The 27,953-nt window shown below is 54.9% G+C and overlaps 1 protein-coding gene and 1 pseudogene across 2 annotated transcripts in view; both read right to left on the bottom strand.

Annotated features, from left to right (window-relative positions):
* Positions 64-8,778, bottom strand: IL9RP1 (IL9R pseudogene 1; annotated as a pseudogene).
* Positions 19,737-27,953, bottom strand: part of CACNA1B (calcium voltage-gated channel subunit alpha1 B) — a 246,838-nt gene continuing 238,621 nt past the window's right edge. Inside the window, exons 43-47 of one of the 2 annotated variants that reach the window (NM_000718.4) lie at positions 26,275-26,410; positions 25,588-25,704; positions 23,984-24,191; positions 23,475-23,725; positions 19,737-22,887 (exon numbers count right to left, since the gene is read on the bottom strand). In NM_000718.4, the coding sequence (NP_000709.1) occupies positions 22,357-22,887; positions 23,475-23,725; positions 23,984-24,191; positions 25,588-25,704; positions 26,275-26,410 (1,243 nt within the window). In that variant the 3' untranslated portion in view covers positions 19,737-22,356. The remainder of the gene's footprint in view (positions 22,888-23,474; positions 23,726-23,983; positions 24,192-25,587; positions 25,705-26,274; positions 26,411-27,953) is intronic. The other variant, NM_001243812.2, reaches the window with a different exon arrangement.

Genomic DNA, 27,953 nt, shown 5'->3' with positions numbered 1-27,953 from the left:
GGCTGGCCAAACCTCACCCCTCACTCCTCCTCTGGCCCCTCTTCCCAGCCATCAGCACTTTGGAACAGCCATGAAGCCCCTTTTAATCTCTAGAAAGGTGCCTCAGGAAGGCACAGAGAGGTCACACCAGGTGGTCATGGTGCCTTACCTGTGTACACTGGGCCCAGGCTGGCCCTTTAAGGGGATGATGGTGGAACAGCTGAGAGACCACACCCCTCTTCTCAGAGAGGCCGGGGATAAAGAAAAGGGACAGCGGAAGGAAGAACCTGTGGGCAGATGCTGAGGGTAGAGGCTGCTCCCCACAGGCACTGAGCGGAGGGATCCTTTCTCCCTGAAGCTGCCCCTGAGCCTCCATCCAGACAGGACCTCCAACCACTGCTAGGGGCCCATTCTCAGGAGGTTCAGTCCCAGACAAGGGCTCCGGAGACTTAAGTCCATTTTCCCAAAATGGACATGATTCATCTGGCAAGTCAGGGACCCAGGACATCCAGGACCAAGCCTTGCTAAGGACGGAAGGGAGTAACATGCCCTGGTGGGGGACGTGGGGGCCAAGTCCTCCTGTGGCAGATAGGCAAGGGGCTGTGCCCTCCACTCTGTACACCCTGCTGGCAGCACATGCTCTGAGCTCAGGTCCCAGTGCCTTCCTGCTCCTCCTCCAGGCCCACAGATTTCCAAGGACCCGCTGGGCCACAGGTGAACAGTGCAGTGGCCTCCTGGATGCAGGGCTCCAAGGCTCCTCGTCGGGTGCCAGCACAGTCCTGGCTCAGCAGCACACCGGCCCTGTGGGCCCCCCATCCGAGTCTGGAACAGAGTGCAGGAGGAGGGAAGGGCTCAGGTAGCATGTTCAGAACTCATCCTGGGAGCAGCTGCCTCCTTTCTGGCAAGCCCAGCATCCCTCCTCCTCCAGGAAGCCCTCCTGAGGTCCACACCCAGAGGCCAAGCAGCGCCTGTGTCTTGGACATTCTGTCTTTCCTCCATGTGCCAGCCCAGCCTCATCACGGGACCCTGAGTCCCTTCAGGCCTCTCAGCACTCCCCCAGCACAGGACCTGGTGCCCACGGCAGCCTGAACCGAGGTACAGATGGTGATATCTGCCCAGGACAGAGCCAGCTCCTGACAGCATGTGCCTCAGGGCCTTTCAGCAGCTGCAGAGACTGGGCATTCCCAACACACACACACACACACACACAGACACACACACACAAACACACACAGACATAAACACACACAGACACACACAAACACACACACACGAACACACACAGACACAAACACACACAGATACACACAGACACACACATACACACACAAACACACACAGACACACAGACACACACAGACACACACACATAAACACACAGACACACAGACATACACACACACAGACACACACAAACACACACACATAAACACACACAGACACACAGACATACACACAGACACACACACAAACACACACACACACACACACAAGTCGCTGTCAGGACTGGTGACTTTCAAAGCACTGGGCTAAGGCGAGCAGACCTGGATCCTTCTGTGGGGCCACAGGCGGCCCCCGCCTCCAAAAGGAAGCTGTTCCCTTGGTGAGACCAGGAACCTCCATCCCATGCACAACACACAACACACCCTCCGTCACTGCACTGCTCCCTAAACACACAACACACCCTCTGTCACTGCACTGCTCCCTGGAGACAAACCTACGGCACCAGATCCCCACCCGCGGGTCTAAATAACCCCTGGCAGGTGCCCTGATTCTCTAGGGAAGGGCTGGTGCCTGCAACAGGATGACAGTCCAGGGGACAGTCGCGATCTGTGCCCTGCTCAGCCTTGTACTAGGCTGCCCAGGCTCGTGACAGTCACACCTACCACCTTGGGGAAAGGGGGAGACTCTGTGAAGAGCCAGGTGCCTGGTTTATGGTTCAAATTGAACATTTGGACAAAAATCTTGAAAACTAGTCTCCTCATTGAGAGAAAAAAGGATTTTTCTGCATAGTAAGTTGGAGCCGCGGTGTGGAAGGGACATCCTTGCTGCACAGGGCCCAGGGATGCCCTAGGGCACAGGGAGGGAAGATCCTGGAGAAGAGGGGTCAGCTTGGCCCAGACCCCAGGGAGGGGCCCTCACTGCTTCTTGTCCTTTGCCCAAAGTGAGGAGTCTGAGGGGAAAAACCAGAGACCATTCAATGGAGCCCTCCCTCTCCCCCTCCTCCCACCCAGGGGGCATGAACCGCCAGCCCAGCAGGGAGGGGAGGGGCTGATGCAACCCCCAAGTTGCTCACTGGTTCCTGGGCTGTGGGGGCCCAACAGGGCCACAGACGGGGAATTGCAGAGCCCACTCCACAGCTGTGGTGCCAGCATGCGATCTGTGGGGACCAGGGGACCAGGGGACCAGGGGACCAGGGGACCAGGCAGAGCAGGAGCCCAGAGGCAGTGAGAGCCCCAAGGGCAGCGCACACACCACAGACCCTTCCCCACAGCCAAGGGACAGACACCTTCGCAGAAGGAGGAGGTGAGGCACATGGTGGGTGCAGACAGCCGCAAACCAGAGGGGACAGAGATAAGTCATGAGAAATTTACATTTTTCCGTCAACAGTGGAACTGGAGACATGAGAACAAAAAGAAAAATCAGTAACGGAGAATAAAGCTAGTTTTTCCCCACTGGAGACACAGCGTATAAATTGAAATACACTGAATATACAGAAAAGGCTCCAAGCACTGACAAGTTTCCCATACTGGCCGCCAACCCTCATGAAAGCCAACATCTCTGGCAGGCCAGAGCTCTGGGCAACACCTGCCCCCGACGCCCTGCCGTGGTCTCTGCACACACCTGGAAGTTCCCATTGTGCACACCGTAGAGGGGCTAGAAGAACACTGCTAGAGAGGGCACATTCTAGTAGAAGGTTCTCTTCATCCTGAGGCCAGGAGAGGCCAGTCAGAGGCCTATGGGGACCCAGGTGGCCTGAGGTCACTGCAGAGGCTGAGCTTCCTTCCATCAGCAGGAGGTCCGCCCACCTCGTCCCTGCCACTGCCTCTCTCCCATCTCATCACATCCCAACCCACTCTCAGGGCAGGACCCAACTGGGCCTCCTTGCCTAATGGCCGCATAGAACTGACTTATACTGAGGCGCGCGTCCTTTACAGCATGAGCTGCGATGGCGGGTTCAGAACGGGGAGTTGTCAGCTAGATCCTCAGCCGGCGGAGGGAGCCGCACCTCCAGGAACTCTGTCTTTGCCATCAGCACGTCTGTGGCTCCCACCCCACCCAGTGTCTCCCTGAGCACCTGACTTGCTGCCAAGGATCCAGTGACCCTTCCACAAGGATGTCACCTGGGGCTCCAACCCAAGAGGTGCAAATAGACCTCGCCAACCTCCCCGCAAGGCTGTGCCCCATTTCCCCACCTCAGGGGTCACCGCTCGTATCTCATCCAGCCACACGTCCCCTCTATTTCTCCCCCTAAGACCCTGCAATTCCCTCCACCTTGCTCTATCTCCACTTCTTTCACTGGCTCACGCCAAATCATCTCCCTGTGGGCACCCCACTGGCCCCCACTGGCCTCCAGCAGGTCCCCCATGTCCCCTTTCCCAGCAATCCATTCCTCAAAACATAAACTAGGTCGTATTACACAGTTTCACACTTTCCTTTGCTCCAAGGAGAAGCCAAGCACCCTCCCGCTTAGCCCCACCCAACACCCCTCTCCCCACACCCTCTTCCTCACATCCTCCGCCTGACATGGCCCCTGCACTCCCTCTTGTAACCTGACATGTGGTGCATGAGGCGTGATGGTTTATTTAAGGAGGGTCCTTGTCCATCTTGTTCTCTAAGGCATCGGCCAGGGTGAGAAGAGGGTCCTGTGTACACCAGATGCCCCAACTGTCCTTTTGTAGAACATTGAACAAATGAACAAACCAAGCTCCTCCAGAGGCAGGAGACTAGGACCCCGGGCTCTTGATCTCGGTGACTCTGGGACTGGTCGGGACCAAGCTGCCCTTATCTTCAGCCTCTGCCTCAGACCCCCCTTCCCTGCTCTCCCCTGGCAAGTTGAGAACCCTCTTCTGGACCAGGGTGGAGACTCGAAAAGCCCACCCCATCCAGGACCAGGCAGTGGAGAGGGGAGGGGAGGAACCAGACAAGGGCGGCCCTTGACGGCCCACCCACCACACACTCACACATGCACACACTCACACATGCACACAGTCACACATCTGCACACATACACTAACATGCACACTCTTGCCCGCTCACACATGTACACACACGCACACATCAGCCACCTACCTGGGCGACAGCTTGAACAGGAGGTAGGTCGGGCCAGTCAGCAGGAGAAAGATGGACACAGCAACAAGGGTGTTGCCTGGCCACCCCCAGGGTGGGATCAGAGGGTCCGTGGGCAGGAAGGGCCCAGGGCTGTGAGCAGCGTCAGTGCCAGGAGGCTCCCCCCAAACCCACCTGGCAAAGGTGCGCCCTTTAGTGCCCTGGGCCAAAGTGGAAGGTTTGTGATGAGCCTTGGAGGTTTGTGTCATCTGCTGAAGGACCTTGTGATGGGCCTTGGAGGTTTGTGTCACCTGCTGAAGGACCTTGTGTGAACCACACTCCTGGGCCTCACTCTTCCCATCTGCCACACGGTGGGTCATAAAGTCCCTGGGCCGTCTCAGCACTGCAGTGCGCAAGGGTCAGTCCAGCCCCCATTAAGGACACTGAGGTCATGTCCAGCCTCCAGGCAGGAGCCCAGCCCTGGTGTGCAGCCCTGCCACCCTCACTCCTAACAGGAGCCACTGACTACAGGTTCCCAGGAAGCCCCAGAGTTGGCAGGTGTTTGTGTCCTCCCTGCAGACCTCAGACCTTCAGAGGAAGGGGGTCAACTGGGACATGGCTGCCTCAGGGAGGGGCTTCCAGGAGGCTGAAAGGGAGTGGGGGACACCCAGCCCAGACTCTGGAAGTGCGGCAGCCATAGCAGCGCCCACCTTGTCTCTGGGGAGCCTGGAAGCACACGGGCTGGCTCCCCTCGCTCCACCGGCCTGTGCCCCGTCATCCTCCAGCATGGCCGTCTGGACACGCAGCTTGGCCTCAAGGATAAAGCCAGGGTCCAGCTCAAAGGCTTCAAGTATGAGCCAGGTCACCCCGACAATGTGATCCCTGCGCTGGGCCCGCTGTGGGGGTGGCGACAGTTGGCAGGTGCTGAAGGTGGGGCTGGGTCCCTCAGCCCTTGAGAATACACACACGCACACGCTCACATAACACATACATGAATGCACCTGTGTTCACACAGGCACACTCGCCATGTTCACGTGCACACACACACACAGAGAAGGCACACTCACACACAGATACAGCGTTTGCCCACAAATACAAATATGCACACACAGGCAAACATGTCTACAGGCACACTTGCATGCACACTCATATACACGAGTGTGTGCACAGAAGCAACTCACCACACTCACATACACGTACACACAGGCATGCCCATGTGCACACTCACACATACAAACACAAGGCGCAGACACACTCATATGTACACTTACAAACACAAACATGGGCACACTTGTAAGTGCACACATAAACACATGCACACTTACCACACTTATGTGCACACACAGAGACACAGGCACACTCACCCTACTCACATACACACACATGAAGCACACACATGTAAATGTCAGCCTGTGTGTGCACACACACACCTGGCTCCAGTTCCTCCCCTCCTCATCACTCCAAGTTGACCTCGCCTTATTTAGAGTGGGGAGTCTGCCCTGGACTGCTGCTCCCAGGAGAGAGGCCCCCAGGAGAAAAGCCAGCCAAAGTGTTACCTCCCAGGCCTCTTCCTGCCTCTTGAAGGCCAGCTCATAGCTGAGAAGTGTGGTCACTGACTCCAAGGCAGGACTGAGGCTCCAGGTCAGGATGCAGTGGCGAGATGACGTGCTCTGCAAGTCAGAGTGGGTCCAGCTTCACAGGAACAGAGAGAATCCATGTAAGGCTGAAGCCCCATGGGTCTGGGTGTGTCAGTCAGCACACCCAAGACTGGGGATCTGAAAGATTCCCAAGGGGCATGGTCAAGACCCTCTCAGACCAGACACCTCACTGGGAGACTGGTCCAGAAAAGCCCCAGGCGGGACAGGACAGCAGTGACTTCCTTTGGCCCCTGCAGTAACCACGTGGACCCTCCCTTCCCAGGGGCCAAGCCTGCCCCCAGCCCTGGATCTTACTTGGCAGGGACTGAGAACACTTACTGGGCCACGGGGGTCGCAGGCTGCAGGGCCTTTCTCCCAGCCCCCAGGCAGCCAGGATGTTCTTGCCAAGGGGCCCTGCCCCAGGCCTATAGCTGCTGTTCACCGTGTCTCCAGGGCAGGTACTACAGGTCCACCAGGCTGACCCGATCCCTCCCGGACACGCAGTGGTAGAAAGTGATGATGAAATTGTCAGATGGCAGGAGTGCTGCCTTGGGCGGCAACACTACAGTGCACTCACTGCCCTGCCAGATGCACTTCTGTGTGCCACCAGCAGCCTGGTTGCTGAAAAGGGCATGTGTCAGCACCACGGGGCTGCTACACTATCCTGGTGCAGCTGCTGCAATCCTCACCCTCATCCCTATCCAGGTGGGCATGGCCCTCCACCCTCACCTGATGAAGGGGAGCCCGGGGCTGGAGCCCTGACCCAGCTCTGGGGCAGACCAGTGGCAATCAATCCTGAGAATGTTGTTGGTGAGGCAGGTGGAGGTTCCAGCCCTTGGCCCTGGAGACAGTGACGGCTGGGAGCCCACAGTGAGTGCTTCAGAAGAGAGCTGAGTTGGGGGGTTGGGGGGGATCCGACAGCTGACATCCTAGCAGGGCAGTCACCAGTGAATGACCCCAGAATCTGTCCAGGGAAGCACTGGGAGGCCTGGGAAGTGATGGGCTCTGACCCATGGTACATGGGAAAGTCAGAACCAGAGAGGTGTCAAGAGGGTGAAGGAAGGGTCGGTCCAGGGACCGGAGGTAGGGAGGTAAAGGAAGAGAGACTAGAGACAGAGGTCCAGGCTGACCCCTAGAGGACATGCCCCAGCACAGTTTGGGCCAAACCTTTCCCTAGGGGCTCGACATTGGACAACCCAGTCCCCCAAACATACCCTAGTTCTCCACCCACCTCATACAGACACTAGTGCCCAGCCCTCACCTTGTCCATCCCCTGAGACAGAGACTCCCGAGCAGACACAGGTGCAGACGCAGGTGCAGGCCAGAAGCCAGGTGCCCATGTCTCGTCTCAGGGCCTCACTCTCCAAGGTCCAGCCTGCAAGGGGCTGGGCTGAGGGCCTGTGCGAGCCATCCCTCTCTGGAGGGGTGCTCCCCATGAATTGTTCCCTAGCAGAGTGCTCAGTGGATCTCCATCTGCACTCACGTGGTGTCCTGTGAAAGATGCTGGGCACCACTGCCCAGGGTTTACTGATAAGGAACTAAAGCTCAGAAAGGCCGCTTGACCCTGCCAAAGACTCATGATTGCAGGCTGTAAGATGCACCCTCAAACTTAGATCCTGGACTCTGACTCAGCTAGATCTCCACGTCTGCCAAGAAGGCTCCTCTCTGGGACAGGCATCCTCTGCCAGCCCATCCCCTGTCCCTGGGCCCAGGCCCCATCCTGCAGGGGAGTCGGGATCGGGGGAACCACTCACTACCAACAACCACCACAGGTGCATTTTCTACTTTAATTCTCACAACAGCTCTGTAAGGGAGAAGCACTGTCCCTGTTCACAGGCAAGGAGCTGAATCCCAAGAAGGGAAGGAGGAGAAATCACTTGCCCAGGGTCACATAGACAACCTCTATGAATTTATTTATTAATTAATTAATTTATTTATTTTTGAGACGGAGTCTCCCTATGTCGCTCAGGCTGGAGTGCAGTGGTGTGATCTCGGCTCACTGCAACCTCCAACTCCTGGGTTCGAGCGATTCTCCTGCCTCAGCCTCCCAAGTAGCTGGGATTACAGGTGCCCGCTGCCACACCCAGCTAATTTTTTTGTATTTTTAGTAGAGGCAGTTTCACCGTGTTGGCCAGGTTGGTCTCGAACTCCTGACCTCAAGTGATCCACCCACCTCGGCCTTCCAAAGTGCTGGGATTACAGGCATGAGCCACCGTGCCTGGCCTCTATGCATTCTCTCTCCCTTTTGTGTTCTTACATAAAGATCCATCCCAGGATCTGCCCCAGGAAGGTGGACAAGGGTGGCAGCAGGGTATCCATGCAACAGATGGCACTTCCTGAATTCTATCTGTTGCACCCCTGTTCGACGGTACCTCCAAAGGAGAGCACCACCAGAAGGACGAAGACCCCCCCCTGCTGGAGTGTGAGGCCTGGGTCCCAGGATCTCTGGGGGAGCCAGAGGTTGGCTGGAGATGAGGCGCTGAGTGTCAGGAAGTTCTTGGGTGTGGGAAGGCTACTGATGCCCCATCACCCCATTTGCAGCTCCAGACGGTACACCCATAGCCCGTAGGCAGGAAGCAGGGCCAGCCTGGTTACCAAAGGCTGATTAGTGATAAGGAGAAGAAAAAAAACAGACATACGTGCTGGCTACAGGGTGCACACTCTTAAGGAACCCGCACACCCTCAACGGGCATCAGGCACTACTCTAACCCCACTCTGCCCCACTCCCGGTAGCGTATCCAGGTACCCATAGGACAGTCCCCTGTTAAGACTGATGATCAGTAATCCTCACCCTTTCTAGAATGGAGCGTGCAGCCTGGAACCACCAGCCGCAGCATGAAACACCGTGGCAAGCTCTCTGCAGCAGTGTCTGTCCCTTTGTGCAACAGTTACTGGAAAGGTAGGAATGGGGAAGACAGTCAGCCTGCTCTTAGGATATCTGAGGGCAGGGTTGGAGTGACCACAAGGACCTGGGGAAGCACAGGCACAACAGCCATAGCTGAGAGCTGACCCAGGCCCCAGAATGGACAACCGCTGCCCCAGCACTGGAGAAACACCCACATCTATGTAGAATCAGGCCAGGCCAGCCACAAGCTAACCCAGGAGCAGATGGCTTGAGAGCATGGAGTGGGGTGGCTTCAAGCTCAGCAGGCCTCGTTTCAAGACAGGGAGAGGGGATGGTACGGCAGGACCCACATGTGACATCTGAGAGCTACAAAGGAGGAGGCCAGGACACCCCCTGGGGGAGCACTGGAAAGTTGGGTACAGCAACAAGGCAATATGGCCATCTGAGGGGAAGGGCTCTGCTTTTCCTCTGCACTGAAAACTCACAGCTGTACCTGGTAAGCTGAGCAGGGCAGGGTTACCACCCTCCTACAGATGAAGAAACTGAGGCTCAGAGACCTGGGACCTGCCCAATATCTGGCTCCTGACACCTCTTCTTAGCACATTTCCACCAGCTTCTACACAAGCCTGTGAACTTCCCGAGGGGAGTGCCTGCGAGGCACCCTCAGCACATGCCCCAGCAGAAGGCACACAGTGCTTTACAAATGGGGTGGAGCTGCAGGCGGAGTGCCTTCCCCCATCCTTGGCCACAGGGCCAGGCAGCCAGGGCAGGTGCACACACCCCCCACCCACATGCTCCCTGCTCCTGGATGTCACCAGGGAGGCCTCACCACAGCTCAGACAACACCCGGTCACAGGACAGTTGTGAGAGCAGGAGGGGAAACCAGTGTCTGCCACCTGGGACAGAGCTGCCCCTGACATCCCTAGACCTGCTAGGGAGCCTGGCTGACATCACTGCCTGGCACAGCTTCTGCCACATTGGGTCTGTGGACATAGCCTTCAGCCCATGGTCACTCTGGTCCCTTCTCAGAGCCGCACCTATTCCATGGCCTCAGCATCAAGGCCTGGCCCAGAAGGCACTGGGCCCCACGGCCTGCCTGCCCTGGTTCCCTGGGCCACTGCGAAGCTGTGGGCTGCTCTGCAGCTGGACCCCTGCCTCAGACCACAGGCTCTGCCACACCCACGGGAGGGTCTTCAGACAAGCTCAGCCCTTCCCCCTCCATTAGCCGGGCATGGTGGCCCACGCCTGTAGTCCCAGCTACTTGGGAGGCTGAGGTGGGAGGATCACCTGAGCCCGGCAGGTTTAGGTTGTGGTGAGCCGTTATCACACCAGTGTACTCCAACCTGAGTGACAGTGAGACCCTGTCTCCAAAAAGAAAACCAACAACTGCAGCAAGAATATTACCAAAGTTGAGAAAACTAATGCAGCAAAACAGGAATCTACTAATATGTGTTAAAACTGGCAGTGGTAAAAGCATGTGTGGATCAGGAACAAGCTTAGGTGGACAAATGTATGAAGACTGTGAAATCATAAAGTGCTTAAAGTGTACGGTTTTTCACTGCTTCATCATCATTATTATTATTTTTGAGACGGAGTCTCACTCTATCACCCAGGCTGGAGTCCAGTGGCATGGTTTTGGCTCACTGCAACCTCCGCCTCCCGGATTCAAGTGATCCTCCTGCCTCAGTCTCCCAAGTAATGAAGGGGCCTGCCCCTCCATACCTGTCGGTATTTCTTGCAAGATGGAGACAAGAGACTGAGAAAAGGAAATAAGACACAAAGACAAAGTATAGAGGAAGAAAAGGGGACCGGCGCTCAGCAAGTGAGGACCTGCACCGGTGCTGGTCTCTGAGTTCCTCAGTATTTATTGATCACTATCTCTACTATCTCGGCAAGGGGGATGTGGCAGGACTATAGGGTAATGGTGGGCAGAGGGTCAGCAGGAAAACATGAGCAAAGGAATCTGTGTCATAAATAAGTTTAAGGAAAGGTGCTGTGCCCGGATGTGCATGTAGGCCAGGTTTATGTTTGACTTTACACAAACCTCTCGATGCAGTAAAGAGCAGTATTGCCGCCAGCATGTCTCACCTCCAGCCACAGGGCAGTTTTCTCCTATCTCAGTAAATAGAATGTGCAGTCGGGTTTTACACCGAGACATTCCATTCCCAGGGACGAGCAGGAGACAGAAGCCTTCCTCTTATCTCAACTGCAAAGAGGCCTCCCTCTTTCACTAATCCTCCTCAGCACAGACCCTTTATGGGTGTCGGGCTGGGGGACGATCAGGTCTTTCTCTTCCCACGAGGCCATATCTCAGGCCGTCTCACTGGGGGGAAACCTGGACAATACGCAGGCTTTCTTGGGCAGAGGTCCCTGCGGCTTTCCGCAGTGCACTGTGTCCCTGGTTAATGGAGAATGGAGAATGGCGATGACTTTTACCAAGCATACTGCCTGCAAACACATTGTTAACAAAGCACATCCTGCACGGCCCTAAATCCCCTAAACCTTGAGTCAACACAGCACATGTTTCTGTGGGCACAGGGATGGGGCTAAGGTTACAGATTACCAGCATCTCAAAGCAGAAGAATTTTTCTTAGTACAGATCAAAATGGAGTTTCTTATGTCTTCCTTTTTCTACATAGACACAGTAACAGTCTGATCTCTCTTCCTTTCCCCCACAGAGTAGCTGGGATTACAAGCATGCACCACTATGCCCAGCTAATTTTTGTATTTTTAGTAGAGATGAGGTTTTGCCATGTTGGCCAGGCTAGTCTCGAACCTCTGACCTTAGGTGATCCACCCACCTTGGCCTCCCAAAGTGCTAGGATGACAAGTGTGAGCCACCACACCTGCTTCTCTGTATTATTCATCAGCAAGAACTCTGTGGGAAATATCTGAATCCATTGTCAGTGGTGAATCTATTGACTCTTTCAGTGGTGTCAATGGTGTACTTCATTTGCTCTCCTGCACGTAACCAGCATTCACAGATGCACATTTGCAATTGATTTCGATGACAGGGAACATTAACTGTGAACCCCAATTAAGCAAAATGGCATCCACTCTTCTCAGTAATAGACCCACATTACAAAAATTAAACTCAATTATTATTACATTTTGAATTTTGCCTATAATCACATTCTGAGGTTAAATTCAAAAAAAATAAAGAAGTATTAAATTTTTTTTAAAATTGCCTATAAAAAACATATCGAAGTTGCCAGTCTGGGCAACATGGCAAAACCCTGTCTCTACCAAAAAAAAAAAAAAAAATTAGCTGGGCATGGGGCGCACCTATAGTCCCAGCCACTAGGGAGGCTGAGATGGAAGGATCACTTGAGCCCAGGAGGTCCAGGCTGCAGTAAGCTGACATCATGCCACTACATTCCAGCCTGGGCAACAGAGTGAGACCCTGTCTCAAAGAAAATTAAAAAGTAAGTAATTATACTATTCACCCTCTGACCCTTAAGAAAACAGTTTGTAAACCCCTCAAACAGGTTATTATTATATCCACTTTATAGATGAGGAAATGAAGGCAGAGGTTCTGCAACTTGACCAGGGTTTCACAGCTAAGGTGCAGTCAGGGACGCTGGCTTCAGAGTACATGATGTGTACCGTGGGTCCATGCTGCCTTCCAACAACAAAACTGAACAGAAGAACTGTCACCTGAGGAAGTAAAACTAACAGCATAAGCAGAAGACGTTACAGATAATGCCCACGTGATAAAATCACATTTGGGAAACCAGAACAAACTATTCTGAACTAGAGCCAATTAGAGATAATAAGCTCAGGAACTGGTTAACATGTTCAAACAATACGAAAACAATCATATTAAATGTAAAGATTGGCCGGGGGCAGAGGCTCACACCTATAATCCCAGCTCTTTGGGAGGCCAAGGTGGACGTATCACCTGAGGTCAGGAGTTTGAGACCAGCCTGACCAACAGGGAGAAACCCCATCTCTACTGGAAATACAAAATCAGTCAGGTGTGGTGGCACATGCCTGTAATCCCAGCTACTTGGGCAGCTGAGGCAGGAGAATCGCTTGAACCTGGGAGGCGGAGGTTGTGGTGAGCCAAGATTGTGCCATTGCACTCCAGCCTGGGCAACAGGAGCGAAACTCCATTTAAAAAAAAACAAAAAAAGAAAGAAAAAGTAAAGATTATACCATTACTGGGAAAGATACTAAGTCTCAAAAGAGTAAAAACTGCACCAAAAGCAGAAATTTAAGTATCACAATTTCATAAGCAAGAATACACTATTAAAAGATTTGGAGTCCGGGCGTGGTGGCTCACACCTGTAATCCCAGCACTTTGGGAGGCTGAGGCAGGAGGATCACTTGAGGCCAGGAGTCTGAGACCAGCCTGGCCAACATGGTGAAACCCAGTCTTTACTAAAAATAAAATAATTTGCCTGGCATGGTGGCACATGCCTGTAATCACAGCTACTCAGGAGGCTGAGGCAGGAGAATCGCTTGAACCTGGGAGGCAGAGGTTGCAGTGAGCCAAGATCATGCCACTGCACTCCAGCCTGGGCAACAGAGCAAAGCCCTGTCTCAAAAAAAAAAAAAAAGATGTGGAGTGGGGAGTGGTGGCAGCTACTTAGAGGCCAAGGCGGTAGGATCACTTGAGCCCAGGTGTTTGAGCCCATCCTGGGCAACATAAACAAGACCCCATCTCTTTCAGAGAGAGAGAGAGAGATTGATTTAGAAAGCAATTAAGACTGGGGCCTTGACCAAGAATCAATTATCAAGAACCTAGACTCAGCTAGTCTGAGGTGTCCTTTCTCTTCTGAGAGTTGAATGATTAACACAGAAAGTATAAAGTATAAAAACATAGTGCCGGGCGCGGTGGCTCATGCCTGTAATCCCAGCACTTTGGGAGGCCAAGGCAGGTGGATCATCTAAAGTCAGGTGATTTGAGACCAGCCTGGCTAACATGGTGAAACCCTGTTTCTACTAAAAAGACAAAAAATTAGCTGGGCATGGTGGCATGCGCCTGTAGTCCCAGCTGCTTGGGAGGCTGAGGCAAGAGAATCACTTGAACCCGGGAGGCAGAGGTTGCAGTGAGCCGAGATCATGCCACTGCACTCCAACCTGGGCGGCAGAGCGAGACTGTGTCTCAAAAAAAAAAAAAATAGAATCTTATACGTTTAATGCAACCCTAGGAAGCAATCAGGGAAGGTTCAAAAAATGAATAAGGGAATAAGAATAGGAGTAAAGAAATAAATTGAAATACCAGTGATGAGGATTTTCATAGCCTGTTCAAATCTAAGTATGTAGTCAATTTTGGGATCACTGTGATTTGGGGTTTGCTTTCTACTTAATAAGCTATTTAAAACACTGAGAAGGCAATATTAGAACTTTCATTTTAACGAAATATTCAGAATTTTGATTAAAATAAATACTAAATTAAGTTTACAAGCAACAGTTAAATATTTAGAGACATTTAATGTACTCAGTTTTGCAAACAGTACAAACATTTAAGAGTGTTGATTGAGGCTGAATGCGGTGGCTCACGCCTGTAATCCCAGCACTTTGGGAGGCTGAGACGGGTGGATCACGAGGTCAGATTGAGACCATCTTGGCTAACACAGTGAAACGCTGTCTCTACTAAAAATACAAAAAAAATTAGCCAGAAGTGGTGGCGGGCGCCTGTAGTCACAGCTACTCAGGAGGCTGAGGCAGGAGAATGGCGTGAACCCATGAGGTGGAGCTTGCAGTGAGCAGAGATCGCACCACTGCGCTCCAGCCTGGGCGACAGAGTGAGACTCTGTCTCAAAATAAAAAAAAATAGTATTGATTGGGAGTAAGGGAATGTCAACTGCCAATAAATGTAGAAGATGAAGGAACAGGACTTTAAACAGCACATACTTAGTTATGGGTCTCCGTCTCCTACCCATACAGAAAAACTCCCCAACATTCATGACTTCATCCACTCTGACTAGCAGATAGGCCACATTTCCTGACACCCTGGCTCTTCACCTCAAAAGGTTTGTCTTTCCACCACACCAGCAAAGACCCTCAGGATACACGATTCACACTGCCAGCTAAGCATCTACCCCAAGGGACAAGGTAAGCACACACTGAAGCAGCTGGGCCATCCTAGTCCTAATCCCTACAGCAGTGTCCACCCTGAGAATTGCAGCACTTGTAGAAGGTGGTCATCAGCTCGTCTGCAGAGCGAGTCTGAAGCTGCATGAAGTAAGCACGAGGATGTTTGCATTTGAGACATGGCTCTAGCAATCAGAAAAATAAAGAAGTGACCCACATTAAAAAAAAATGTTGCTCATGACTGTTAAAAGTAGGTATTACTATCCTTTTTTTTTTTTTGAGACGGAATCTCCCATTGTCGCCTGGGCTGGAGAGCAGTGGCACACTCTCAGCTCACTGCAACCACCACCTCCCAGGTTCAAGCAATTCTCCTAACCCAAACCCTAGCCCTAACACTACACAAACCCAAACCCGAACCCTAACCCTAAACCCCAACACTAACCCCTAAAGCTAACCCTAACCCTAACCCCTAAAACTAACCCTAACCCTAACCCTAACCCTAACCCCAACCCTAACCCTAACTTCTTAATCAACCGTATTGACTAATGAAGTAAACATGAGTAGGCCAGTCGAGATGGCTTACATCTCTAATCTCAGCACTTTGGGAAACTGAGGCAGGCAGATCACCAGAGGTCAGGAGTTCAAGACCAGCTGGCCAACATGGTGAAACCCAGTCTCTACTAAAAATACAAACATTAGCCGGGCATGGTGGCAGGCGCCTGTAATCCCAACTACTCAGTAGGCTGAGGCAGGAGAATCACTTGAACCCGGGAGGTGGAGGTGGCAGTGAGCTGAGATCACACCACTGCACTCCAGCCTGGGCGACAGAGCCAGACTCCATCTCAAAAAAAAAAAAAAAAAAAAAAAAGCAAACATGAGTGTTTAAACCTGAAATTTTTTGCAACTGGTATATGTGTGATATACACACACATACACACACACAGGGCTGGAGAATATAGTAAGGTAATATTCTGTCCAGTAAACTCTTATGAAATTTCAATGATCAATGGTGCCCTCTGCCTTTCATTCTGCATTGAGATTTTATTTTTCTTTACTGATTATCCCAAATATGGACTCTGCTTTTATGTATCTATTTCCTTGATTTATAAATTAAGGGTGATTCTCACATATGATCTACCAAACATTTTTTTTTTGGTCTAAAAAAATCACGTCAGAACATTTGTGTTGTTAGACATCATAACCGCTGTGACTTGAAGGATCTAGGTAGACAGAATCTTAAGAGTATTTGATAAGAGGGTGTTGGATGTGCATAGAGTTCCCAAGACTCCCGAGAGCCTGCTGTGTCCCTGCAGGTGGAGGCCGCAACGCAGGCAGCTGGGCTGGGCTGGGCGGGAGAGGGCAGCAGGTGGGAGCGCTCAGGGACTGGGGGCCAGGTCAGTTCTGCGACCCCTGTTCTGATGCCAGTGGGAAACCATCGTTAAAGTTAAATAAGAAGAGTGATGGGATGAGACTTGTTTGTAAAGGAGAGTTTTGTCGCAATCACCCTGAGGTCTCTGTGGGGTGTGGGTGGGTCTGTGCTCCTCCGGGGAACTCGCTGTGCAGAGCACTGCCAGAGGCTGCGAGTTCCCACCTGGAGTGCGGCGTCTGCATCTGCCCAGGGGGAACCGCTGTGCAGACCCAGGCTGGGGGCAGCTCTGCTCTTCAACTCTGCGAAGGCTCCAGAAAAGGAAAACTGGACCCAGATGGAAAGAGACATTTTCCACCCAGCCGTGATGGCTGTGAAGTGAAACGGGCCTGCGGACACGACCCTCAGGTAGAAACGTGGCCTCCTGTGCTGGGGTCACCTGGCGCTTACCTGGGAGGGGTCCCTGTTTTGGGTGAAAAACACTGGGGTGTTTTCTGTGAGATGCAGATCTGGCTCAGCAACAACCGCTGAGGAATCTGAGAGAAAAGAGAAAGAAAACTCCACACTACCGCTGCAAGTTTCCTGAAAGTATGGAATTATTGGGAAGTAAGCTACTTTTTAAAACAACTGTGTCAATTCCACGTCCGTGAAGCAGATACGACAACAAGCTCCACTGTGGAGGCCAAGCCCGAGGCAGCTCCAGCTCAGCAGCAGCTGTGAGCAGCTGGAGGCTACGTTTGTGTTGATTATGTCAGTGTTGATTATTATGAGCGGGGACTGCGGGGCCGTGTGGGGAGCACGGGGTTTCATATTAACATTTTTGTATTGAGGCAGCGCATTAGCATTACAGGTGTTTGTTACCTGAGCACTGCGAGTGTCACATTCGTATTTCGGGAGGCATATCTGCATTAGGAACGCTCCATTTGTGTTCCAAGGCCGCGGTGTAGACCTCGCACTGCGCCCGCCTCGCCTTGGGTGGGGAGAACCTCAGTGCTCAGGATTCAGAGGGGCTTTTGGTTTCCAGTTTCCCACACCGACCCCTCTTACTGGTCTCTAACCCTCAGTAGTCAGGGCTGCAAACAGGAAGGATTTTACTCACCATGGCCTCGAGTTGTCCCAAAGCGAGGCGGTGCCCCCCGGGTCTGTGCCGAGGAGGACGCGGGCTTCACCCTCGCTTCGGCCCGGTGTGGACGCCCTGCTGGCGGCCGGGGGCACTGCAGGGCCCTCTTGCTCACGGTGTCATGGCCTTGCGCCCCCTGCTGGCGGCCGGGGCACTGCAGGGCCCTCTTGCTCACGGTGTCATGGCCTTGCGCCCCCTGCTGGCGGCCGGGGGCACTGCAGGGCCCTCTTGCTCACGGTGTCATGGCCTTGCGCCCCCTGCTGGCGGCCGGGGCACTGCAGTGCCCTCTTGCTCACGGTGTCATGGCCTTGCGCCCCCTGCTGGCGGCCGGGGCACTGCAGGGCCCTCTTGCTCACGGTGTCATGGCCTTGCGCCCCCTGCTGGCGGCCGGGGCACTGCAGGGCCCTCTTGCTCACGGTGTCATGGCCTTGCGCCCCCTGCTGGCGGCCGGGGGCACTGCAGGGCCCTCTTGCTCACGGTGTCATGGCCTTGCGCCCCCTGCTGGCGGCCGGGGGCACTGGAGGGCCCTCTTGCTCACGGTGTCATGGCCTTGAGCCCCCTGCTGGCGGCCGGGGGCACTGCAGGGCCCTCTTGCTCACGGTGTCATGGCCTTGCGCCCCCTGCTGGCGGCCGGGGGCACTGCAGGGCCCTCTTGCTCACGGTGTCATGGCCTTGCGCCCCCTGCTGGCGGCCGGGGGCACTGCAGGGCCCTCTTGCTCACGGTGTCATGGCCTCGTGCCCCCTGCTGGCGGCCAGGGCACTGCAGGGCCCTCTTGCTCCCAGTGTAGTGGCGGCACGCACCCTGCTGGCGGCTGGAGACACTGCAGGGCCCTGTTGCTGCCACAGCCACCTGGCATTGAACAGCGACAGTGTGGCCAGCACTGTGCTAAGCTCATCTCGGTCATTCTCTCACCACATCCTCCAACGAGCCCGTGAGGCCCAGAGAGGTTAGGCGAGTTGCCAGTGGTCACACAGCCGATAGCAGCCAGGCTGGAACTTGGACTCAGGCTCCCAACTCTCACCCACCAGCATGTGCTGCCTCTGAAGAGTTTGGGATTCCCCTTCAGGGCAACTGGGAGCCACGAGGGATTTTTAAGGGGGGGTGGGTAGCACGGTCTCAGTGCCGTAAATCCCCAAGTCACGCTCGTGGAGAACCCGCTGCGTCCACCTGGGAGACGTGGCTGGTCTGTTTTCAGGGTCTGACCCTGCTGGCCTCTTCCTACACCACTTAAAGTTGGAGTGCAGGTTGTTCAGCACTATCAATTCTGCAAATTCAAACTGAAATGGAGCTAATACTGGGGAGACCTGATGTCCCAGTTCTTGTCTAACTTGAAAGAAAGATTCTCACCAAGAGGCAGTACAAAGATGGCAGATAACTTCATTGAAAAGAAATATAGTGTAAAGAGCTTATTGTAGAAAAAATAAGTATGCCTCAAGGGAGAAGTGGGGCTGATCTGCAGGAACACAGCCCCAGGGTCCTGAGCAGGGAGTTTTATGTTGGACTTCTTCACATTCCTCAAGTCTCCACCTCTTTTCTTTGTCTGGTTTTCCTGCTCCTTCCTTAGATCCCTGACTTGCCCCACCCAGGCTTGTGGGACCCCCTCACTGTTGGCTGACACATATGTGCAGTGATCAGTGTGATTCCACTGCTGGGGCTGGGCTCCTTCCTGCCACTCCAGGAAGGTCCTACAGTGGTCATGTCTGTACCTACTGTGCCTGCCTATCTCTTTCGAATGTCCTTCTCTGCCCTAATCTGTACTTATGGTGCCAGGTTTCTCTTAAGGATGTCCCCTTTGTCCTTATCAGCATGTAGCTAGCAATATCCTAACATTTTAACAGCAGAGCGAATGATTATTGGGGCATCTTAAGAGGAGCTCTGTGCCCCAAACTCACACAGCCTCCCAGAACCTCCTCTACCCAACCCCAACCCTAACCCACCACTGTAATCTTAACCAACCCTAACCCTGATCCCCAGGGAAGTTGAATCTGCCTCCTCCTGCCAAGTGCCTCCCTTGATCCTCACCACACTCTCAAAACCTGATCCCACACTTGCATTGAAAACAAACTGCAGGCCAGGCATGGTGGCTCACGCCTGTAATCCCAGCACTTTGGGAGGCTGAGGTGGGCGGATCACTTGAGGTCAGGAGTTTGAGACCAGCCTGGCCAACATGGTGAAACCCTGTCACTACTAAAAATACAAAAATTAGATGGGCATGGTGGTGTACGCCTGTAATCCCAGCTACTCTGGAGGCTGAGGCAGGAGAATCCCTTGAACCCGGGAGGCAGAGGTTGCAGTGAGCCAAGATTGCCTCACTGCACTCCAGCCTGGGCAACAAGAGCAAGACTCTGTCAAAAAACAACAACAACAACAAAACAACAACAACAACAACAAACTGCAGTTCTCACTTTCTTCTGACCCCTCCTAGCAGTGCACCCCAGGCCCACACCCTTGCATATACCAATGGCAGCATGGTGGGGTTTTGTTTTTGATTTTTTGCTAAGTTTTTATTTTAATTCAAGGACTTTGCTTCATACAAAATGTCATTGTAGAAACAACAGCAGAATCCAAAGTTTGGCTGATAAATATGACTCAGGCAGCAAACTAGTCAATCACAGAATTTCTTTTTAAGTAGGTCCCAGTTGTGTTGCATGGTTGGGACTTTTTTTTTTTTTTAACACTTCTTAAATATAAAGTTTTGCAACAAACCTTTGATTTATATCAAATATAATTAAAAATTAACAAATGAATACATTGTATCAAAAAGTACGAAGATATACATTATCATGCACATACTTGTATATATGTATATATGTATATATGTTACATGCACACATAACTTGTTCAAACTACAGCCACTGCTTGACTGGTTCCAGATGCAGACAACTGGGTGATGCACTTCAAATTTGGCAGCTCACTATGAGATTCAGGGGACATATATGATAGCCGGAGAAGACACAGTGAGAAACAAAACCCAAAGTCAGGAAAACAAGACATAATGTCTCCTTTCCCCGCTCCCTGTAGTTTTCATCAATTCCAATGCCTAGAAGAGTCTAGACAAGCCAGCTAGGCTGTGTGGGTTTAGAAAAGTGGATTCTCGACCCAACACTGCCTGGGGAAATGGCTGTGGTTCTGCATGGAATGGACACATTCGACACCCAAGATAACATGGGCTGGGGGCTGGGGAACAAGAGACAAAACGTCAGTGTCAAAATACACATCCTTCTACTTTGCAACAGGAGCACAGTGATCACATGCACAGTCCGAGATTCCTGGTTTATTCTATTGGAATAAAATACTCTGTTATCTTTAAAGTTTCAGAGTGTTGTGCCTTCAGGTAAGGAAATTCTATAAAAAGGTTTGGTCACAATCATGCTGAACCCCGAGACCAGGCAGCGGTCTTGTGTGTTTTACTTCTATTAAATGTGTCTTTTGTTGCATAGCCCTATGGGTTAATGACATCCACACACTGAACACACCTGTACAGGCACTGCATCTCCTGTGACACAGACACACACACACACACACACACACACACATCACACACAATTTCTTTGAGGAGAATCATGGGGTAGAAGCCAAGAATCCAACACAGATCATCTGGAATTTCAGAACACGGAGGACACACCACCATCAACTGCTCTAAATGCTCCCTTTCTTCACCAAACAAGGGACCTCCCAGCATCTTGTGCACCTTGGACAGTGTCCTGAGCATGGTCTTTCTCTCCTGAGCGTGGCCATGGGGGTCAGACCTCACTTGACTGCCTGCTCCCTGTGTCTGGCGCCAGGACAGTGCTGGGCATCAGGTGCCCGGCCTCAGTGGCAGGAGCCGTGTCCTCCCTCGGTCACTTGCTCTGAGTTTCATTCCAGCTGGGGCTTCCTCCCTCCTGCCCTGACGGCCCCACATCCAAGCCCCCAGCCAATGTCTTCCTCCTTCCTACCAGCCTTTGCCTCTCTTCTGCTGTATGTGGAAGGAAACCTATTTCACATACCACAGAGTGTGCCCTGAGAATCATATGCAGAACAGACTGAAAATGCCTCACACAAGCACGTGGTCAGCTGCCCTGTGGCTTCCTTGGAAACCCCTTCCACTCGTGGGAGGAGGACAGCAAATGGCTGCCTTGTTTGCCACCATGACATCCAGTGCTCTCCACTGGCAAGGGCTTGCTACCTGGCTGCCATCGCGAGTACTTTTCACAGCATCCTGCGGTGATGGATCCCGAGGCCTCGCCTCACACCACAGTGCCCAGGAGCCTGGGTGTGAGGGCCTGGCGGTCAGGCACTTGGTCAAGAGCAGCAGAGCCAGGGGCCGTCTACGTCCACCTGGACCGGACAGGGCTGCACAGGGAGTCTCCTCGCATAAGCCACAAAGACACGTGGCAAAAAGCTGACATCTTTCTTTCACAGGTTTGATTTTTTAAAGTTATGTGAACATTTCCTTCCCCATTTTTCTGGTTTTCCATTTTTTCTACATCACGTATATAGAAGTGACAAGAATGAGAGGTGTTGCAATTAAAAATCACAACCACAGCAAGAACACTTCCCAGCTCGGTTCCTGTGGGGCTGACGGTGTCCAGGGAGGACAGAGCTTGCCTGAGTGAGCATTCGCTGACACTGGCGGGCTGCACAAGCCACGACTGTGTCCCCCTCCCCATCCCCTCCGTCCCGAGGTCTCGGCGCACTTTCAGGTGGGCCCTGCTTCTCTGTGCCGCACGGCCACGTGAAGGGTGCTCCCCACAGGACGCAGAGCTCCTCACAACGGCTCCAAGCACCCATGCTGGATGCTGAGTCCCAGGACACGGGATTTGGACTCCTGGGTCCTTCTCAGCCACACACAGCAGCCTGCGGTTTAGGGTCTGGTGTGTGGTACGAGACCCAGGAAGGCAGGACAGGAAGGGGACAGAGAGAGCCGCATCCTCTAACAGGGCTTTATTCGTCGTCTAGAGTAAAAGAGGGGAGGAGGGGGAGGGAGGGGCCACAGGAGCCTCACCAAGGTGGGCAAGGCCTCCCCCGAGGGCCGGCTGCCCCGTGTGGATGATAAAACTCATCCACTGGAACACACGCCTGCTGCATGCAGGCGTCTGAGCGGTCACGGTGCAGCTAGCACCAGTGGTCTTGGTCAGGGTGGTGGTAGCTGTGCCGTGCTCGGCCACCCGAGCTGAGTCCCAGGGTGCAGTGGTAACCGTTGGGCACGCGGCGGAGAGGGTGAGACTGGGAGGTCAGGGAGGACACGTAGGAAGTCCTGGAGGAGCGGCCCGAGTTGGTGGCCACAGCCTCCTCGAAAGTGAGAGTGTCCTCAGGCAGGGCGTGGACAGAGGCCTCACTGTCCAGACGCTGCCCCAGGTAAGGGTCAGAGCCAATTCGAGAGCCAGGGGCCAGGGGCTGGCTGAGGGGGTCTCTCTGCAGCAGGGCGTTGTGTTCGGAAAGCCCACGGCTGAGCCGGCCTGGGGAGAAGGCAGGGAGGCTGGTCTGAGCCCCGGCGAAGTGGATGGGTGAGGAGTTGGCCGTCTTGTAGGTGATGCTGGGGCGGGGAGTCAGGGGCGTCTGGGGGAGCTGCCTCCGCCCACCGCGGCCGGGGGTGCTAGCACCAGATGTTGACAGCAAGGGGCTCCCATTCACGGAACCACTGCCCTACATGAAAATGGACCAGAACAAATCAGAGGTAAAAAAAAAAAAAAAAAAGCCGAACCAACAGACAGAGCACATCACACACAGGTGCCTGGGGGGATGGGAGGAGAGAGGGAGGCAATGGGGGACAACGGGCTGCGGTGACCAGGGAGGCAACAGGCACCTGTGTGCGGGGGAGGGCGATGGTCAGGGTCAGGCCCAGGAATGGGGTTGGGGAGAGCAGGTGATGGGAAGGGACAGGCTGGGGCCAGGGAAAAGGACAGAACAAAAGCCCAACGACCACAGTCAGGGAAGGAGAGTTAAGTGACCGAGAGAGAGGTAAGTATTTGGGGGCCCAGGTCCGAAAGTGGATAGGACGCAGAACCACTGTCCCAGGGTGACCCAGGCAGGAGCTTGATGAGAACACAGCTGGGGTAGGCTGCAGACGTGGGCTCCGGGACAGGGCACAGAGGGGAGCGCCCGGCCCTTGGGTTGCTGGGAATGACAAAGGGCAGCAGCGAGGCCCTGGGGAGAGGCAGGAGCCTGTGGGACAGGGGTGCTGGGCCGAGGAGAGGCAGCTGGGCCCTGACCTCTCCACCTATTCCTCTTACCTGTGGGTGGGGTCCCGGCTCCTGGCCAGCTGTTGGCGACGTTGGGTGGCTGCTGAGGGAGGGCTTGGGCTTCGGGGGCTCACGGCCCCCAAAGCGGTCGCAGGAGTAGAAGCGCTGCTTCTCCGAGGAGGAGGATGAGGGCTGCCTCCGCTCCTGGGACCGGCCCCGCTCCTGCCGGCGCTCTCGTTCCCGCCGGCAGCCTGTAGGCCCCTCTCCCGGGGGCAGCCCCGGCCCCACAGCACTGCTTGGTGCTGGCCAGGGAAGAGAAGAAGTTAGCACGGCCAGGCCCAAGGCAGGGACCCCTGACCCCCGGGCCCAGCAGGACAGAATTCAGGTGGTGCCAGGGGAGGCTAGGGTGAGGGTTAGGGCCTGGGCCTCAGTCCCACCCTGCTCTGGCTGGTTATGGGGTCACGAGGCCCACAAAGGAAGAGGGTCCCCCATGGGCCGCTTGGACCCCCTGACTCGGGCCATAGCTCCCCGAAGGACTCCCCGGGCCCCTCCGCACGCACCGCCATCCATATCGGCAGACAGGCTGGGCCCCTTCTCCAGGGACCTCTGCTTCCTGTCCCTGCGGCGGTGGCAGCGGTGGTGGTGGTGGTGCGACGACGCCTGGCTAGGGGGTGGGCGGTCCGGGGTGGTGCTGCAAAGATGAGTCCCACGGGGCCGCTGGGCCAGCGTGGAGATGGAGCGCTTCATGGGGCTGGCATCTGTGACGGGCTGTGGGCAAAGGACTGAGAGTGGGCCTAGGGGAGGCACCAGGGTCAGCGGGAATGCAGGCATGGAAGTGGGTGGTGGAGCAGGCCAGACAGCAGGCCCACACGCCCCCCATCCTGGTCTCACAGTCAGAAGGACCCAGGCCTGAAATGGTAGCCCAGGAGGGCAGGCTGGGGGCAGACAGTGCCTGAGTCCCCGCCCCATCCCATGTGTCGTGCCAGGAAGAGAGAGGTGGCTGGCTTGGTTGGAAGAACCCTGAGTGGAAACCAGAGACGCCTCTGCTGGCTGCAATGGGATCACTCTGCCTGGTGCGTCTGGGGTGGACTGGCTCCCGAGCTGCTTCCACGGCCAGAATCAGGACCCGTGAAGACACCTGGGACGGGTAGGCCCTCCCAGGTAAACTCACCCACAGCCGCCAATGCATCACGTGTGTGAAGGAGGAGGCCCCAGCACAGGCTGCAGGGAGGCTCAGCCTGCACCCACCCACCAGGCAGCACCCAGGAGGGTACCACTGGGCGGGGAAAGAGACAAGAGAGGAAGGACAGGTGGGAAGAGGAGAAAACCCTAAGAGGGAGGAGAGGCAGTGAGGAGAGGAAAAGGGTTTGCTGGCCACAGCAGTGGGATGGGAGACGAGCCACGGACGAGGTTCAGATCCACAGCTCCACAGCCCAGGTCGGCCGAGGGACAGGGCTGGCACGGGGGCTCCGGTCACTTTTGGCCAACTGAAGCAGGCTCATGTTGCAGGTGAGGCCCTGCAGCTCCTCCGAGGCCTCGGAGGCCGGGGCACAGTGTTCCCAGATTGGCCTCGGAGGGGCGATCCTCCCAGTGTCCTTGTGGAAGGAGCCTCCCCCGGGAAACACATGGGGCCAGAGCTTCCTCTTCCTGAATCCAGTGTGCATGTCCCAGAAAGAGGCGAGCCCAGCAAGGAGCTGGGTAGAAAAGTAGTCCAGGGACTGCCCATGAGCAGGGAGGGTCCTCCGCAGAACCACGGGCGGGAGAGGGGACTGAGGTGTCGGTGAAATTTTCTGGATGAGAGTGGGGGTTGTCTCAGGGAGTAGAGCCCCGGAAAGGAGGAACAGAACGTGGCTGAGCCAGAGTGGGGGCCCCTATGCCCCATGGCCCCTAATAGGAGGCTGAGAACAGGCACAGCTGTCCTCTACCGGACCTGACCCACCCTCTGGAGAAGCCTCAGGGGCTGAAGGCGTCCAGGCTGCACCTCTGTCGGCGCCCAGACAGGACTGCCCGGGGTGCCTGCTCCTGCCTCAGCAAAGAGCTCCACACATGGACCCCAGCCTCTCTACCCCAGCTCTCCTCACCTGCAGGAGGCCCAGAGCCACAGCCCCACTTCCCCACCCCCCACTTGCCCAGCCCAGGGCCTGGACCCTCCCAGACCACCTACCTGAGTCTCGGCCGCAAGGCGGGGCATGGAGGCCGCTCGACCCTGGCTCTCCAGCCCAGGCTGGGGCTCCCCATCAGGGCCCCTCCGGGTTATGCTCTGCATCTGAACGTCCACAGCCTGTGGATACAGCACTCACCTAGTCCCACCACACAAGGCACCGCGGACTCATCTGATCCCACCCCGGACTCACTCCATGAGGCACTGGGGTCTCACCCAAATCCATCTCAGTCTCACCTAACTCCCACTGCTGTTCACACGTCCCCCACCCCAGTCTCACACACCCCCCATCCCTGTTCACATATCCCCCACCCCAGTCTCACACGTCCCCCACCCTGGTCTCACACATCCCCCACCCAAGTCTCACATGTCCCCCACCCTAGTCTCACATGTTCCCCACCCCAGTCTCACACGTCCCCCACCCCAGTCTCAAAATCCCCCATCCCAGTCTCACACACCCCCCATCCCTGTTCACACATCCCCCACCCCAGTCTCACACGTCCCCCACCCTGGTCTCACACATCCCCCACCCCAGTCTCACACGTCCCCCACCCAAGTCTCACATGTTCCCCACCCCAGTCTCAAAATCCCCCATCCCTGTTCACACGTCCCCCACCCCAGTCTCAAACATCCCCCATCCCTGTTCACACATCCCCCAACCCAGTCTCACTAGCCCCCGGGAGTGCTCACCAGTGCTCCTGACCGCCCCACAGGGATCTCTGTGGAGTGGCCACGCTCCAGGGGTGGCCTGGCCTCATGGGGTGCATCCTGGGTCCTTTGAGTGCCCCAGGAGACAGACTCTTTGATGCCACTCTCTTGGTTTTGTCTGTGGCAGAGAAGACAAACAGATTCCTGTAGGGTCAGAGACTGCAGGTGCCTTACCAATAGCCTGGTGCTTCAACCTGCCAGGCGTCTCCAACACATGCAGCAGAGGTCAGGGGGTTTGGCCACCCTGTTCTGGACTGAATTGAGCCCTCCTTTGGGCACAAGAGCCCCAACGTGGCCTGTGCACGCTGGACCCAGGCAAAGCCTCATCAAAGGACATGGATCCAAAACAGGGTCAGAGCAAGAAGGGATTCAGAGTGGCAGAGAGGATGCAGAGCACCAGCTTACAGCCCACAGTGCTCAAGTCTGAGGGGGGCCTGGGTCCGTCACCCGCTCCTCTGGACAAGAGGCTGATCTGTGAAGTGGGAGCAGGGGTTGTCCTTGCCACACAGGACTATCCTGGGAAGGAGTGGGGCCGCATGTGTACAGCCTGCATTAGGACAGTAGCTGAAGAAGTCCTGCCTATGCCAGCAGACAGCAAGAGAAGCTGTCATGGAGAGGACAGGCTGGGACAGATGAGGGCAAAGCTGTCATGGAGGGGACGGGCTGGGACGGGGGGTAGGGGGCCTCGCCCGGGACTCTTTGGGCTTCCTCCTCTAGGGGCTTCCTCCCTCAGGGGTCCCTTGCTGGTGGCTCCTCCTTACTTCTCTGACCCCCCCCCCAAGCCACAATGAGCCCTTCCATCCCTCGGCTCTCTGCTGGGGTGCAGCCTTCTGGCGGAGGCCACCCCACACATGCTCCCCATACGCCTGCCCCAACAGCCCCACCCGGAGATACTTCCGCACTGGTATTTCTCATCACTTATCTCCCAACTGGCGTGGAATGTGTTCGGGTGAGTGCTCATTCTCACATTCAGTGAAACACTGAAGACTACGTTCTTAGTCATGCAGGTTGAGTGGCACTGATCACTCTGAGCTCAGACTGGAGCCTGATAGTCTAAATGGACCACACCCTGACCACAGCAGTGGACGCAGAGATGGCAGAAGGACACACTGGTGGTTGCTGGGGCTTCTGAGAAGCCCCATCCTTTGTCTTCTGAGAGTTGCAAGCAGCTCTCCTTCCATGCTGTCTGGGGCACTGCAGCCCCTGCTGGCACCAGGCACAGAGCGGCCGCAGTGGCAGGCTGGTGCTGAGAGGAGGGGTGGTTAGGAGAACCGGAGCTGGCTCCTAATGCACCGCTAACCCTGAAATAACACCACGTCCAAGGCCAGAGGTGTGCTCAACCCGCTCACTAAATGGCTCAATAAATACCCTCACCAGACCCAGTCTGAGTGGGTGCTCTCTGACTTGGAGTTGTAATTGATTTAGGTAGAAACTACCATCACAGAAATAACAGAAGCTCAATTTCCTGCTGAAAGCCTGGCTTAGATAAACCCCAGACACCTCACTATCTCCTCCCACCTGCACATACAGTCAGAATCAGGACTTTAAATGCAAGGAAGGTTTTCAACAGCATGCTGAAAGCAGTGTGGGAATGGGGGGCTGCCAGCGGCTCGGGAGTCAGCCCCCAGGATCTGGGTCCTGAGATTTGGGAGCACACTTTT

Source organism: Homo sapiens, chromosome 9, assembly GCF_000001405.40.
Source record: "Homo sapiens chromosome 9, GRCh38.p14 Primary Assembly".
Classification (NCBI taxonomy): Eukaryota; Metazoa; Chordata; class Mammalia; order Primates; family Hominidae; genus Homo; species Homo sapiens.
The sequence above is the reverse complement of the archived record's forward strand: the minus strand, read 5'-3'. Positions and strand labels throughout refer to the sequence as shown.